This window comes from Homo sapiens, chromosome 7 (assembly GCF_000001405.40).
Source record: "Homo sapiens chromosome 7, GRCh38.p14 Primary Assembly".
In the NCBI taxonomy this organism is placed as follows: Eukaryota; Metazoa; Chordata; class Mammalia; order Primates; family Hominidae; genus Homo; species Homo sapiens.
Genome location: NC_000007.14, coordinates 102,521,162 through 102,536,995, shown reverse-complemented (window position 1 = coordinate 102,536,995; position 15,834 = coordinate 102,521,162). Strand labels below are relative to the sequence as shown.

General features: G+C 54.5%; 2 annotated features.

Annotated features, from left to right (window-relative positions):
- Window positions 11,021-11,520: an enhancer, noted in NCBI's record as "H3K4me1 hESC enhancer chr7:102165923-102166422 (GRCh37/hg19 assembly coordinates)". NCBI's record gives its function as "activates a minimal SCP1, AML or CMV promoter by ChIP-STARR-seq in naive H9 embryonic stem cells {active_cell/tissue: H9 hESC(naive)}" and the evidence as "EXISTENCE:reporter gene assay evidence [ECO:0000049][PMID:30033119]".
- Window positions 11,521-12,022: an enhancer, noted in NCBI's record as "H3K4me1 hESC enhancer chr7:102165421-102165922 (GRCh37/hg19 assembly coordinates)". NCBI's record gives its function as "activates a minimal SCP1, AML or CMV promoter by ChIP-STARR-seq in naive H9 embryonic stem cells {active_cell/tissue: H9 hESC(naive)}" and the evidence as "EXISTENCE:reporter gene assay evidence [ECO:0000049][PMID:30033119]".

The following is a 15,834-nucleotide window of genomic DNA, read 5'->3' as shown; positions in this document are numbered from 1 at the left end:
TCCGCCTCAGCCTCCTAAGTAGCTTGGACTATAGGTACATGGCACTATGTCTGGCTAATTTTTTAAATTTCTTTAGCGACGGGGTCTCACTATGTTGCTCAGGCTGGTCTCGAACTCCTGGTCTCAAGTGATCCTCCTGCTGGGATTACAGGCGTGAGCCACTGTGCCCAGCTCATGCAACACTTATCATCAGGATTCCCGCTCAGTGCTCGGACCCCAGGGGCCAGAGATGCCCGCGGCAAGGTTCTGCCCTCAAGGTGCCCACTGCTTTAGGGGGAAGACAGTGATACTACCACATACGAGAGAAGGAGAGGACACAACTGTCAGGGAGATGGACTGTTGGAGCTTCAGAGGCAGCATCTTGGGGAGGGGTGGCTTTGAAGAAGGAGCAGGACACTTGGGCCAGGTGGACCTTGGAAGGGTGCCAGGCAGGAGGAGCAATGTGTTGCTGATGGGCAGGTAGGGGAGGGTGAGGGATGGAGAGGAGACCGGAAGACACCCTGTGCCATGTGGAGGGGCCCTGCCCTCTGGGGCAAGAGGTCAGGGAGGAGGGCGCTGGCTGGGTTCCCAGGCGCCTGCCCCTGAGAGGTGCAAATGGCCCTAATGGGGTTATTAGGTGGAGCAGATGCATCCGGCTCCTGCTGTGGAGGAAATGCTCAAATGATCTTGAAGCTACCAGGCTGGGAGAGGCAGGCAGGGGATGGGGCAGACAGGCTGCCAACCTCTGTGAGATAAGCCCTGGCCTCTCCAGAACCTTTTCAGAACAGCTATGAGCCCCAACCCTGGGGTGAGTGACCCAAGACAGATCACTCACACTCTCTGGGCCTCAGTTTCCCCTTACATAAAAAGCAATGGTTAGGCCAGGTGCAGATGGCTCACACCTCTAATCCTAGTGCTTTGGGAGGCCGAGGTGGGAGGATTGCTTGAGACCAAGAGTTCAAGTCCAGCCTGGGCAACATAGCAACACCCCATCTCTACAAAACATAAATACAAAAATTAAGGCCGGGCATGGTGGTTAAGGCCAGGCGTGGTGGCTCACACTTGGAATCCCAGCATTTTGGGAGGCAGAAGCAGGAGGATCACCTGAGGTCAGGAGTTTGAGACCAACCTGGCCAACATGGTGAAAACCCGTCTCTACACAAAATACAAAAATTAGCCAGCCATGGTGGTGCATGCCTGTAATCCCTGCTACTGTGGAGGCTGAGGCAGGAGAATCACTTGAACCCAGGTGAAGGAGGTTTCAGTGAGCCCAGATCATGCCACTGCACTCCAGCCTGGGTGACAGAGAACAAGACTGTCTCAAAACAAAACAAAAGAAAAATTAGCCAGACATGGTAGTGTGAACCTGCAGTCCCAGCTACTATGGAGGCTGAGGTGGGAGGATCGCTTGAGCCCAGGAGTTGGAGGCTGCAGTGAGCTATGATGGCACCCCTGGACACCAGCCTCTGTGACAGAGCAAGAGCCTGTCTCTAAAGTGAAACATTTTTAAAAGGGAAGGTGAACTGGGTGAACTCTAAGACCCTGCATTTCACAAACCCTTGCCCACACCCTGTATGCGTCGGGCCCTGGCAGGAAACAGATGGTACGCTGTCTCACAGGGCAATTGAGAGCGTTTACAAAGGTGTGGGCAGCATTAGGGGAATGGACCAGAGAGGGTGACCTGGGACTTGGCTGTAATGGGGCCTAAGCACTCCTGGATCTGATTGCTGATGGGAGGGAGGGAGTGATGTTTCCTGATCAGCAGGCAGTAGCCATGGGTGAGGGGCCCCGCAGGAGCAGGGGCTGTAAGTGAAAGGATGAAGCCACCAGAGGGAACTGGGCTCTGTCTTCCCGCCCCCTGATCTCATGCCAGTGCCTCCACTGGCCACACCTCACGAGAAGCAAGAGAGTGTGGGGTCTCAGTGGTGCAGTCCCTGGAGGCCAATCTGCTGGGTCAGAGCAGGACAGAGAAAGCGAAATGGACATACATAGGCACACGCCGCTTTCATGCTGATCCAGTGGAATTAGATCCTTCCTGTTCTTTCTTTTGTTTCTTTCTTTTTTTTTTTTTTTCCTTTTTTAGAGATGGGGTCTCACTTTGTTGCCCAGGCTGGGGTATGGTGGCGTCTTCATAGCTCACTGTAGCACTGAACTCCTGGGCTCAGGCGATCCTCCCACCTTGGCCTCCCAAAGTGCTGGGATTACAGGCACTACAGGCACCTAGCTAACTTTCTTTTTTTTTGTAGAGGCAGGGTCTCTGTCACCCAGGCTTGAGTGCAGTGGCACGATCATAGCTCACTGCAGCCTTGAACCCCTGGGTTCAAGCAATCCTCCCACCTCAGCCTCCCAAGTAGCTGGGATTATAGGTATGTGCCACCACCCAGCTAATTTTTTTATTTTTTGTAGAGATGGGGTCTCGCCATGTTGCCCAGGCTAGTTTGGAACTCCTGAGCTCAAGAGATGCTCCCACCTTGGCCTCCCAAAGTGCTGAAATTACAAGCATAAGCCACCATGCCTGGCCTCCCTTCCTGGCCTTCTGGTCTCCAGACTGGAGAGAGGGCCACAAAGTCCTGCCCAGACAGAGGGCTGCTAAGGCTGGGGTGGGGCTGGGGTTGTGCAGAAGGGACTCTGCAGGGGCTGACCTCTGAGTCTCAGGGGACAGGGCAAATTTTTTTTTTTTTTTTTTTTTGAGATGGAGTCTTGCTCTGTCGCCCAGGCTGGAGTACAATGGCACGATCTCGGCTCACTGCAATCTCCGCCTCCTGGGTTCAAGTGATTCTCATCTCTCAGCCTCCCGAGTAGCTGGGATTACAGGAGTGCACCACCATGCCCAGCTGATTTTTGTATTTTTAGAAGAGATTGGGCGGGGTGGGGGGTGGGGTGCGGGTTTCACCGTGTGGCCCAAGCTGGTCTTAAACTCCTGACCTCAAGTGATCCTCCCGCTTCAGCCTCCCCAGGTGCTGGGATTACAGGCATGAGCCACCGCACCCAGCAGGGACAGGACAATTTTGCCAGCTGGAGAAGGGGTGGCCCCCAAATGTCCCCTTCACCACCCTCCTGCCTCTTCCTTCAGAACACTTTTTCCCTGAAGCCCTCCTGGGTAGCCCCCTACCCACATGCCTCAGCATTGGGAGGTGGGGAGTATGGGGGTCCCCCTTCTCCTCAGCCCCATTTGGAGTAATGTCCTGTGCAGCTGAGCTCACAACTCCTCCTCCACCTGTCCCTTCACCCGGTGTCACTGGCAATTGCTCACTTCCTGGGCCTGCACCCACTCAGCTCCCCTATCCCTGGGCATCAGCCTCAGCCAGCTCCCATGTGGACTAATGACCCTTGTCCCTCCCCTCAGCTGCCTCTCTTTTTTCTTTTTTTTTTTTGTTTTTGAGACAGAGTCTGGCTCTGTCACCCAGGCTGGAGTGCAGTGGCGCGATCTTGACTCATTGCAACCTCCACCTCCTGGGTTCAAGCGATTCTCGTGCCTCACCCTCCTGAATAGCTGGGATTACAGGCACCCGCCACCATGCCCGGCTGATTTTTGTATTTCGGTAGAGACGGGGTTTCACCATGTTGGCCAGGCTGGTCTCGAACTCCCGACCTCAGGTGATCCGCCCGCCTCAGCCTCCCAAATTGCTGGGATTACAGGCGTGAGGCAGCTCGCCCGGCAACCCTCAGCTGCCTCTCATATGTCCTTGGCCCCCTGGCCATCTCTGACCAGACATCTAGGAGGCCCCTCCTGCCAATATGCTTCCCCGACAGCCGAGCCCAAAGCTGTCTCCAGCCCTGCACCTTGTCTTGGTTCCCCGGGTGCTCCCTTTCCCAGGCTGAAGCCTGGACAGCCCCAGGCAACCTCTCTCCCTGACCACAGTACCACCTGGCCACATGCCACACTGCTTTCTACAGCAGACACCGCCTGGCCACAAAGACTTAAGCCACTTCCTTGGGTCCTGCTCAGCGCTGAGCCCAGAGCCCAATCTCAGGGACTGGGAGAGAGCCCAGTACATGGCCAGTGGGATTCTCCCGATGAAAATCCCAGCCATGTGAGTGAGGCTGGCTTCTCCAGGTTCTCTGAGGCCTGTGAGTCCAGGGCTGGCTGGAGGGAAAGCCCCTGGCCCCTTAAAGCCACTGATCATGTTCCCATAGAGGGATCCTGAGAATCCCCTGGGAGAGAAAATGTCGGAGCCCCAGTCCTGGCACCCCCCTGACCAGCTTGGGCCTCAGCCTCCTCATCCATGAAAAGAATGGACAAGAGGGGTCTGGGTGCGGTGGCTCACGCCTGTAATCCCAGCACTTTGGGAGGCCGAGGCAGGTGGATCACGAGGTCAGGAGTTCAAGACCAGCCTGGTCAACATGGCAAAACCCTGTCTCTACTAAAAATACAAAAATTAGCCGGTTGTGGTGGTGCACGCCTGTAGTTGCAGCTATTTAGGAGGCTGAGGCAGGAGGATCACTGGAACCCGAGAGGCAGAAGTTGCAGTGAGCTGAGATTGTGCCACGGCACTCCAGCTTGGGCAACAGAGCCAGACTCCATCTTAAAAAAAAAAAAAAAAGGAGGGACAAGAGGCACCAGAAGCTCCTGTCCAGGTCTGGGCCTCCCTCGGGTCACTCAGTTCTCCCCCATTCATTCATTCATTCACTCACTCACTCACTCACTCATTCCCACACTCTGCAGCCACTGACTTCAGCTAGCCATGCTGGATGCTAAGACATAGAGTCCCGGCCATCAAGGCCAGTCCATCTCAGTGGCATCTAGACATGCACAGAGATGACCAGGGAGCCCCTAAGGGACAGAGAGGCACACCCTGCCTCCTGATCCCATCTGGGGGCTGCATGAAGGAGGGGCACAGGTGTGGCCTTGAAGGCTGGGTAAGGGGCTGGGAGGGCTTTAGGGGCATTCCAGGGGGCAGGCACAGAACTGGAGGCTCTGCCGGGCACACCCACAGGAGAGCAATGGCTGGAGGGTGACATGGACTGCAGGGTGTGGCCGCGGCAGCCCAGCTCTTAAGGGGACAGCCTGGGAAAACAGACTTAGGGACAATGATCTTGAGCCATGAAATGATGTCCAATGCCCCTTGTGCCACCTGACATCAGCCTGATTAATGAACAAACAGAAGAGGAAGCAGGGGACCTGTGTGTCCCTCTCTCTGCTTTTCTGTCTTTCTCTGTGCCCCCTCTCTTATGTCTCTCACGCTGTCTCTTGTCCTTGTTTTTAACTCTGACACGCCGTGGGAACTTGGCTCACTTCCTAGGGGGAAGCTGTCTGGACTGGCCCAGAGATGGGCACCACCATTTCCCAATAAACACAAGATAAAATCAGAGAGCTGGCGTCAGTTCCGCGGCTGGACTCAGTGGGGAAAAGGGCAAAAAGCAGCAGAAATAAGAGCAGGGAAAGAACAGGGGCTGGGTGTGATGGGTCCCATCTGTAATCCCAGCGCTTTGGGAGGCCTAGGTGGGAGGATCGCTTGAGCCCAGAAGTTCAAGACCAGCCTGGGCAACATACGGAGACCCCCATTTCTAAAAAAGTTTTAAAAATTAGCTGGGCATGGTAGTGTGCATCTGTGGTCCCAGCTACTCAGGAGGCCGAGGTGTGAGGATCGCTTGAGCCCAGGAGGTCGAGGCTGCAGTGAGCTATGATTGCATCACTGCACTCCAGCCCGGGCACAGAGCAAGACCCTGAGACCTTGTCAGAAAGAAAGAAAGAGAGAAAGAGAGAGGAGAGGGAGAGGGAGAAAGAAAGGGGGGGGGGGAGAGAGAGAGAGATGAAAGAGAAGGAAGGAAAGAAAGAAAGGAAAGAGGAAGGAAGGAAGGAGAGGGGAAGGAAGGAAGGAGGGGAAGGAAGGAGAGAGAGAGGAAGGAAGGAAGGAGGGAAGGGAAGGAAAGGGGAGGGGAGGGGAGGAGAGGGAGAAAAGAAAGGAAAAAGAACAAGTGGATATCAGGGGACAGAAACCATTCGCAGCCCATCCCTCGGCAGATGCAGAGGGAGTCAGCCTGGAACCCCCACCCCTGCTGGCTGTGCCCCACCGCTGTCTCCACACCCCAGCCCTTCCTCCAGACACCCAGCCGTCCACTGCAGCAGGAGCACAGGTGCCCCAAGGGGACCACTGTTGGAAACCAGGCAGCCCTCCACTCACCCACACAGTGTGTCTCTGCACCCCCTCTTTGACATGGGAGCCGGGGCGCTCTTGGAAATAAGGGTTTACCTGAGGGGTCTGAAGACTTGGGCAGTGGGGGGCTGTGAAGCCTTGGGGAGGGAATCAGCTTGTCCAAGAGTCTGGGGCAGCGAGTGGTCGGGGGCTACCCGGTCTGACCCCATCAAAGTAACCTTCCTGGGGGATATTTCCATTGCAGGGTCACAAAAAGGCAAGGGCTAAGGTTCGAGAGAGGGGTCTCTCTGGGGTCCCAGCCACCCTGCTGTGGGGGCCCTTCCCAAGCAGGACACTCCAGGCAAAGGGGATGGCTTCCCCTTGCTCCCAGGACCCATAGGTGAGGTCCTGGCTGAAATGCAGACTGTCCCCAGATGCCCCTGGGGACTTGTAGGGATTTGGGGGATTCAGTGTTGCAGGAGCTGGAACCCTTGCTTGCTGGACGGGTTTGAGCTGTGCTGTCAGGCCCAAAGCTCCTGGGTCTCCAGGATGGTGCATGAGGGCTCACACCAGCTGCTCCCTGCCACCCTTCCCCCACCTCCCACCCCTTCTCCTGGAGCCCCAGTCCTCTGGTCCTCCAAGCTCAGCTTCAAATGCTTCCACCACTTCTGTCTCTTCTACCTCGAGTGGTTTGTCAACCTCCAAATCACACGGAGTTCAAGAATATCTCAAATATCGACCAGGTGCGGTGTCTCACACCTGTAATGCCAGCACTTTGGGAGGCCGAGGCGGGTAGATCACCTGAGGTCAGGAGTTCGAGACCAGGCTGGCCAACTTGGTGAAACTCTGTCTCTACTAAAAATACAAAAATTAGCCGGGTGTGATGGTGGGTGCCTGTAATCCCATCTACTTGGGAGGCTGAGGCAGGAGAATCTCTTGAACCAGAGAGGTGGAGATTGCAGTGAGCCAAGATTGTGCCACTGCACTCCAGCCTGGGCAACAGAGTGAGACTCTGTCTCAACAACAACAACAACAAAAAGAATATCTCGAATACAAAAATTAGCTGGCCGTGGTAGTTTACACCTGTAATCCGAGCTACTCAGGAGGCTGAGGCAGTAGAATCTCTTGAACCTGGGAGGCAGAGGTTGCACTGAGCTGAGATAGCGCCACTGCACTCCAGCCTGGGTGACAGAGCAAGACGTCATCTCGAAAAAAAAAAAAAAAAAAAAGAGTATATCGAATCCAAAGGAATATCTTGAATACAAAAATTAGCTGGGCATGGTGGCACACGCCTGTAATCCTAGCTACTCAAGAGGTTGAGACAGGAGAATCGCTTGAACCCAGGTGTTGGAGGTTGCACTGAGCTGAGATTGCGCCACTGCACTCCAGCCTGGGTGACAAAGCGAGACTGTGTCTCAAAAAATAAATAAATAAATAAAATACAAAATTAAAAGAAAGATTATCTCCTGGCCACCCATGGTGCAGGCTGTAATCTGTCTCTGCTGGGGTGAAGGGACGGAGGGAGACAGATGAGAAATGAGAACACAGACCTGGAGACCCAGACCACCCATGCCAGCTACCCAGGTCACTTCAGCCCAGCCCAGGGAGCCCCTGCCCAGCACAAGCCTCATGCACAGTAGCAGTGTTAAGATGGGCCCTTGGGCTGGGTGCAGTGGCTCACACCTGTAATCCCAGCACTTTGGGAAGCTGAGGTGGGTGGATCACTTGAGGTCAGGAGTTCGAGACCAGCCTGGCCAACATGGCGAAACCCTCGTCTCTACTAAATATACAAAAATTAACTGGGCGTGGTGGTGAGTGCCTGTAATCCCAGCTATTCGGGAGCCTGAGGCAGGGCAATTGCTTGAACTCGGGAGGCGGAGGTTGCAGTGAGCCGAGATCGCACCACTGTACGACAGAGCAAGACTCCGTCTCAAAAAAACAATAAAAAGAATTGCTGGAGGAGGGAAGTGAGGGGCGGCTGGCGGGGGACTGCTGGGCTGGTGCAGAGGGAGTCAAGGATCCCTAAGAGAGAGGCAGGGGTGTTCAGCTCTCCCACCTCTGCTGGATGAACTTGCAGAGCCTCCTTGGTGACCCAGCCGGTGCAGAGACTCTGCTCAGGACAACACCCTTGCCTGGGACCCCCACATCTCTGGCCCCAGCAGCAGCCCTTGGGGGGGTCCCTTTATCTTCCTCCACTCCTACCCAGGCTTCCTCAGCAGGAGATGAGGCAGGACATTTCCACTCCCTTTCTGGAAGGTTCAGAAGGTTAATGAGAGCTAAGCACGTAAGTCCATTTAGGGGGATGAACTTCTGGGAAGAGAGGAACCTGGGTCTGGGCTGACGTCCAAGGGCGGGCTGGGTGACGGTCCCTCTGATCACGGACCCTGTCCACCCACTGCCCAGGGCCCTGCCTCGACCCCTCTGACCAGCCACCGAGCCCCAGAGGGATCTCCATGAATGTCAGAGACATTGACTGGAGGCCTTATCTCCAGTGGGAGACCCCTTCTCTTCCCACTGTGGGCCGGTTCCAGCCTGGGCTGTCCAGGAAGTGACCTCTCAGGGCCTGGGAAGGGTGTGGCCAGTGGTTCTTGGTTGTACTCAACTCATCTGCCTTGGGTCTAAGGCTGGGGTGAATGGAAGGGCCCACCTGGACCCTGGAGGGACACCAGGCTCATACTAAAATCCCAAAAAGTGAAAAGCTTTCCCCAGGCCCAAGCAGAGAAACTGGACCTTGAAGCTACATCTCTGGACTTAGTCCTCAAAGTAGGAGACATTTGCCTCTAAGCTGTTCTCTCCCACCCCACCTTTCTGTGAGCCGCCGGTTCCCTGTTGTCCACATCAAGCTGTGTGCTGGGCACTGGGTGCAGGAATAGCTTGACCACAGTCTCTATCCTGGGGGTAAAGGGGTGACCAGCCCACAGAGGGATGGACTGCAAACAGACAGTCCCAAAGTGCCATGAGAGAAGCTCTCAGGGCCTGGGCGTGATGGTTCATGCCTGGAATCCCAGCACTTTGGGAGGCCGAGGTGGGTGGATCAGTTGAGGTCAGGAGTTCGAGACCAGCCTGGCCAATAAGGTGAAACTCCATCTCTACTAAAAATAAATAAATAAATAAATAAATAAATAAATAAATAATACAAAAATTAGCCGGGCATGGTGGCATGCACCTGTAAACCCAGCTACTTGGGAGGCTGAGGCAGGAGAATCACTTGAACCCCAGAGGCAGAGGCTGAAGTGAGCCAAGATTACGTCACTGCATTCCAGCCTGGGTGACAGAGCGAGACTCCATCTCAAAAAAAAAAGAAAAAAAAAGAGAGAGAGAGAGACAGAGGCTCTCAGCCTGCAGGAAAGGGCTCTCTCCTTGTTGGCCAAACCAGTGGGCCCTTTAGCTGTGACGGGTGTGCCCTGGGCCCACCAGGACAGGAGCAAGGTCAGGAGGGCTGCTCTGCTCTGCAAAACAGAGGCTGATGGATCTGAAGTTTCTGTTACTGGGAGAATAAAGGGAGGTGAAGGAGACACGTGGTAGGTCCCCTGGGAAGGTGGTGGGAATGCGTGTGAAATGCTCGGAGAGGCACAGTAAGAACCGGCCTGTTTAGAATCCAGTGTTCTACGCCTGCCCCAGGCCCCAGCAATTCTGCTTCTAGACATCTCCCCATGAGAAATGAGCACTGAGCCTCCCAAACATGTCTTTTGGGAGGCCAAGGGGAGCGGATCACTTGAGGTCAGGAGTTCGAGACCAGCCTGGCCAACATATTGAAACCCCGTCTCTACTAAAAATACAAAAATTAGCCAGGCCTGGTGGTGGGTGCCTATAGTCCCAGCTACTCGGGAGGCTGAGGCAGGAGAATCGCTTGAACCCGGGAGGTGAAGGCTGCATTGAGCCAAGACTGCGCCATTGCACTCCAGCCTGGGCCACAGAGTGAGACTCCGTCTCAAAAAAAAAAAAAAAAAAAAGACATGTGCAAGAACATTCAGATCAGCCTTCTTCATAACAGACCCAAACAGGAAACAACAGACGTTCATCCACAGGCTAGTGAAGAGGCAGGTTGTGAGGCCTCCGCCCACACCGTAGAATGCTATTCAGCAACATGGGTGACTCCCCTGCATGTAACATTGGCAAAGAAGCCAGGCACAAGCAAATATACACTGTAGGATTCCATTTATATAAAGAGCAAAAGCAGGCAGGAGGGCCGGGTGGGCACAGTGGCTCAGACCTGTAATCCCAGCACTTTGGGAGGCCAGTTGTGGGGGGTGAATCGCTTGAGCCCAGGAGTTTGAGACCAGCTTGGGCAACATAGCAAGACCCCATCTTAAAAAAAATAAAAAATTAGCCGGGCGTGGTGGTGCAGGCCTATCATCCCAGCTTCTCAGGAGGCTGAGGCAGGAGGATCACTTGAGCCCAGAAGTTGGAGGCTGCAGTGAGCTGTGATTGTGCCACTGCACTCCAGTCTGGGCAACAGAGTGAGACCCTATCTCAAAAAAGCAGGTGGGAGTAATCCATGGCAATAAATTGGGGTAGAAGTTATTCCTGGAGGTGGTGATGACTGGTATGGGACACAAGGAAGCCACCTGGGGCTGGGAATGTTCTAGTTCTTGATCTGGGAGATGGTCATGCAGTCGTAGGCCTGTGTAAGACTTCCTCGAGCTGTCCACATAAGATTTGTGCACTTTAGCTGAATGTGGTGGCTTACACCTGGAATCCTAGCACTTTGAGAGGCTGAGGTGGGCAGATTGCTAGAAGCCAGGAGTTCGAGACCAGCCTGAGCAACATAGTGAGCCCCCTGACTCTAAAAAAAAAATTTTTTTTTTTAATTATCTGAGCATGCTGGCATGCACCTGTAGTCCCAGCTACTTAGGAGGCCGAGGTGGAAAGATTGCTTGGGCCCAGGAGATTGAGGCTGCAGTGAGCTATGATCACACCACTTCACTCCAGCCTGGGCAACGGAGCGAGACCCTATCTCAAAAAAATAAATAAAATATTTGTGCAGTTCTCTGTATGGAAAATGTCCGCGTCTATCCAGCAAGCATCCATGGAGTAGTCCGGAGAATTGTGGGTTAGCAAGACACTGGGTGGCGTCAGGCACTGGAGGGATGGGGGAACAGCCATGCAGAAGATCCCAGGCAGAGCCAAGGCAGAGATGCAGGGGGATGGTGGGGGGCCTACTGGGGACGGCTAAGTGGTGGGGGGACACCAGTGATCCAAGGGCTGGGGGCATCTAGAGGCCAGGGTTCCAGTTACCCACAGTGCCCAGGATCTGTGGGAGTAGTGGATGGGGGAGTAGTGGATGGGCAAGGGTCAAGCTGAAAAACAAGAGCCGTCACCCTCACCCTCCCATGCCCCCACTGTGGCTCCATCCTGGCTCCTGGTTCTCATCAGCCGAGCCGGGGCCCTTTCCCCGGCTGGGGGTGGCCATGGCGCCAGAAGCCACGACAGGTTTACGTTCCAGCCGCAGCTGCACTGGCCCCATCCCAAGTCCCCTCGCTTGCACACACATTTTTCTCCTTGTGGAGTCAGAAGAGGCCTGGCCAGGTCCTGCACAGGGTTCTGGAGGCGAGAGTCCCCTTGGAATCACGTTGTCTCCCCCAGCCCTGGGCCGTCTCTGCTCGGGGAGTGCCCTCAGAGCTGCACCTGGACTCTTTCCCCCACTTCCCAGCCCTTCCTCCTGTTCTTTCTCCCAGCCCCAGCTCTTCTCCTTCAAGCCCAGCTCAGGTGCCGCCTCTTCCAGGAAGCCCCCTGGGACCATCTCCAGTCTCAGTGGGAGCAGTGTGTCCTTGGTTGCTCCCAGAGTCTATAGCAGAGATCTGGACCCAAGACTCTGGACTCCCGGCTTTGGGCTGGCAGGTAACACCCACTCCTGGGGCTTCACTTGCCTTGCTACGTGTCAGTTTCTCACTTTGAGGGGGGCAGCAGTATTCACCCACAGGGGCTGGGGCTGAGGGGATTAAGGGACTGCAGCTCCAGGAGGCCTCAGAGGAAAGGGTACAGGTGGGATGCAGTGGCTCACAGCTCTAATCCCAGCACTTTGGGAGGCCAAGGTGGGAGGATGGCTCAAGTCCAGGAGTTGGAGACCAACCTGGGCAACACAGTGAGACATCATCTCTACAAAAAATTTAGAAGTTTTTTTCTTTTTCTTTTCTTTTTTTTAATTATTATTTTTTTGAGACAGAGTCTTACTCTGTCACTCAGGCACTCTGTCATCTCAGCTCAGTCAGGCACTCTGTCATCTCAGCTCACTGCAACCTCCACCTCCCAGGGTCAAGTGATTCTCGTGCCTCAGCCTCCGGCGTAGCTGGGGTTACAGGCATGAGCCATCATGCCCAGCCCTCCAAAAAGAAAAACAATAACAACAACAACAATTTTGGCCGGGCATGGTGGCTCACACCTGTAATCCCAGCACCTTGGGAGGCCGAGGATCACTTGAGGTCAGTAGTTGGAGACCAGCCTGGCCAACATGGTGAAACCCCGTCTCTGCGAAAAACACACAAAAAATTAGCTGGGTATGGTGGCAGGTGCCTGTGATCCCAGCTACTTGGGAGGCTGAGGCAGGAGAATTGCTTGAACCTGGGAGGCAGAGGATGCAATGAGCCAAGACCACGCCGCTGCACTCCAGCCTGGGGAACAGAGCGAGACTCTGTGTCAAAAAACAAACAAACAAACAAACATTTTAAAAGAAAGAAAGAAAAAAGGGAAAGGAGAGCATCAGAGTCTAAGACCACACAGAAACCCTCTCTTTACTGCAGTGCTGAAGCCCTCGTGGCAGCCATGCCCTGCTCACTTTTGGGATACCCATGGACTCAGGGCACGTCCTAAGGTGACACCTGTCACCAGCCCTATGCCTGCCTCTGTCCACCTTCGCCTCTGCTGGAGACCATTCTCAGACACCCCTGAGATGCCCAGAGGGGACCTGCAACCTCTTCCCACCCCACCTCCCACAAGGGGTCCCTGGGAAAACTGGGGGTAACATTCCCCCCACCCTCACCCCTACTTCAGTCTGGGTGTTCAGAGCAGCCCTCTCTGTCTCTGAATTTTCTCTTTTTTTCCTTTTGGAGACGGAGTCTCACTCTGTCACCAAGGCTGGAATGCAGTGGCGCAATCTCAGCTCACTGCAACCTCCATGTCCCGGGTTCAAGCGATTCTCACACTTCAGCCTCCCAAGTAGCTGGGATTATAGGTTCACGCCACCACTCCTGGCCTCTGAATTTTCTCTCTTGGTGTTTTGTTTTTGTTTTTGTTTTTTTGACAGAGTTTTGCTCTTGTTGCCCAGGCTGGAGTGTAATGGCTCTATCTCCGCTCACTGCAACCTCCGCCTCCCAGGTTCAAGCGATTCTCCTGCCTCAGCCTCCCGAGTAACTGGGATCACAGGCACCTGCCACCACACCTGGCTAATTTTTTGTATTTTTAGTAGAGACGGGGTTTCAATATGTTGGCCAGGCTGGTCTCGAACTCCTAGCCTCAGGTGATCCACTTGCCTTGGCCTCCCAAAGTGCTGGGATTACAGGCATGAGCTTGAATTTTCTCTTTCTGATTTCCTGTCTCTCTGCCTCTGACTATGTTTCTCCATCTGTTTCTCTCTGTCTGTCTGTCTGTCTTTCAGAGCAGGGTCTTTCTTTCTGACATCTGCAGGGCTGGGGGCTGTGCTAGGAGGGGGGTGAATTTGTCATTGTGACTTTGCAGCTCCTTATCTATGAAGTGGACAGGACACCAGCATCTAGTCCTGGAGTCCTTGGTGAGGACCTGGTGTGTTGAGGCTGGCCGGTGCAGAGTTAAGGGTTCAGTCCATGATTTCTGCATCCATGAAAGGGGGATGGTGAGGCTGGGCATGGTTGCTCATGCCTGTAGTCCTAGCGTTTTGGGAGGCCGAGGCGGGTGGATGACTTGAGGTCAGGAGTTCAAGACCAGCCTGGCCAACATGGTGAAACCCTGTCTCTACTAAAAATACAAAAATTAGCAGGGCACAGTGGCTCATGCCTGTAATCCCAGCACTTTGGGAGGCTGAGGCAGGCGCATCACTTGAGGTCAGAAGTTCAAGACCAGCCTGGCCAACATGGCAAAACCCTGTCTCTACTAAAAATACAAAAATTAGCAGGGTGTGGTTGCACACACCTGTAATTCCAGCTACTCGGGAGGCTGAGGCAGGAGAATCACTTGAACCCGGGAGGTGGAGGTTGCAGTGAGCCGAGATTGCACCATTGCACTCCAGCCTGGGCCACAGAGCGAAACTCCGTCTCAAAAAAAAAAAAGGGGGGGGGTGGGGGGTGGATGGTAAGAACAGCCCTGCTCCTCTGCTTCTGGGGATTAACGTGAGGATGTCCTGAGTGCTTGCCCCAGGGAGGTGCCCTCTGCGGTCTGGTGACCAAGTGGCTCACCAGCACACTCTGTTCCCAGCCACTCTGCGGGGTGCAGCCACCATTGCCCCACTCTACAGATTAGGCAGATGAAGCCCAGAGAGGCTGAATAACTGGCCCAGTCACACAGCAGCTCCTATCATAGCAGTGGAGGTAGGATTTGAACTCAATTGTCTGGCTCCAGAGCCTGCGATCTTCACTGTGGACCTCGTTTTTTTGTGGTTTTTGCTTTTTGTTTTTGGAGACAGGGTCTTGCTCTATCACCCAGGCTGGAGTGCAGTGGCACAATCACAGCTCACTGCAGCCGTGACCTCTGAGCTCAAGCGATCCTCCCACCTCTGCCTCTCGAGTAGCTGGGACTACAGGTGTGCACCACCATGCCTGGCTAACTTTTTTATTTTTCGTAAAGGCAGGGTCTCGCTATGTAGCCTAGGCTGGTCTTGAACTCCAGGCTTCAAGCGATCCTTTGCCTTGGCCTCCCAAAGTGCTGGGATGACAGGCATTGAGCCACCAAGCCCAGCCTGTGGACCTTGGCTTTAAAACTGTTATTCAATGGTATCTGTCTAAATGGTGCAGTAGGAGTGTCAAGATTGGTGGGGTAGGGGGAAGCTGGGGATAGAGCCCCATCTGGCCTCTGATGACTCCCAGCCTGCCCCTCTGGCCAGCCAGGATTTTTTTTGTTTTTGAGACAGAGTCTTGCTCTGTTGCCCAGGCTAGAGTGCAGTGGCATGATCTCGACTCACTGCAACCTCTGCCTCCCGGGTTCAAGTGATTCTCTGCCTCAGTCTCCCGAGTAGCTGGGATTACAGGCAAGCAATACCATTTCGGGTTAATTTTTGTATTTTTAGTAGAGACGGGGTTTCATCATCTTGGCCGGGCTGGTCTTGAACTCCTGACCTCGTGATCCACCTGCCTTGGCCTCCCAAAGTGCTGGGATTACAGGCATGAGCCACCGCTCCCGGCCAGGACTTCTTAACATACAGCTGTCACTTGGCCCAGAGCCTGCCAGGGATCCTTGTGTCCCTGGCTCCTGTGCCCAGCTTTTGCGGGTTCACAGCTGGACTCCTCTGGCCTTCGGAGAGGGCTGCCCTTGCCACCCTCTGCACCTGCCACCCAACTTCCTCCTCATCCCCTGCTCCTGCCTCCTATCCAGTTTTCTGGGCTTCTCCTTCTTCCTCCAGCAATGCCTTCGGTCTCATTCTTCCAGGACCTGCCTCCTCCCAAAGTCCTCTCTGGGGGCTCTGGGCCATGGCACAGCAGGACAGCCACCAGAAGCCACTGTCAGAGTCTGATGGGTGAGGACGGAAGGTGGCTCAGGAGTCCTTCCTTAGGGCAGGGACAATTTTTTCCAGGAGAGGTGTGAGGCCTCCAGCTCCTAAAACTCCTCGAGGTTTAAGAGCGGGAAATGCTTTGGCTCCAAAATATTAAAACTG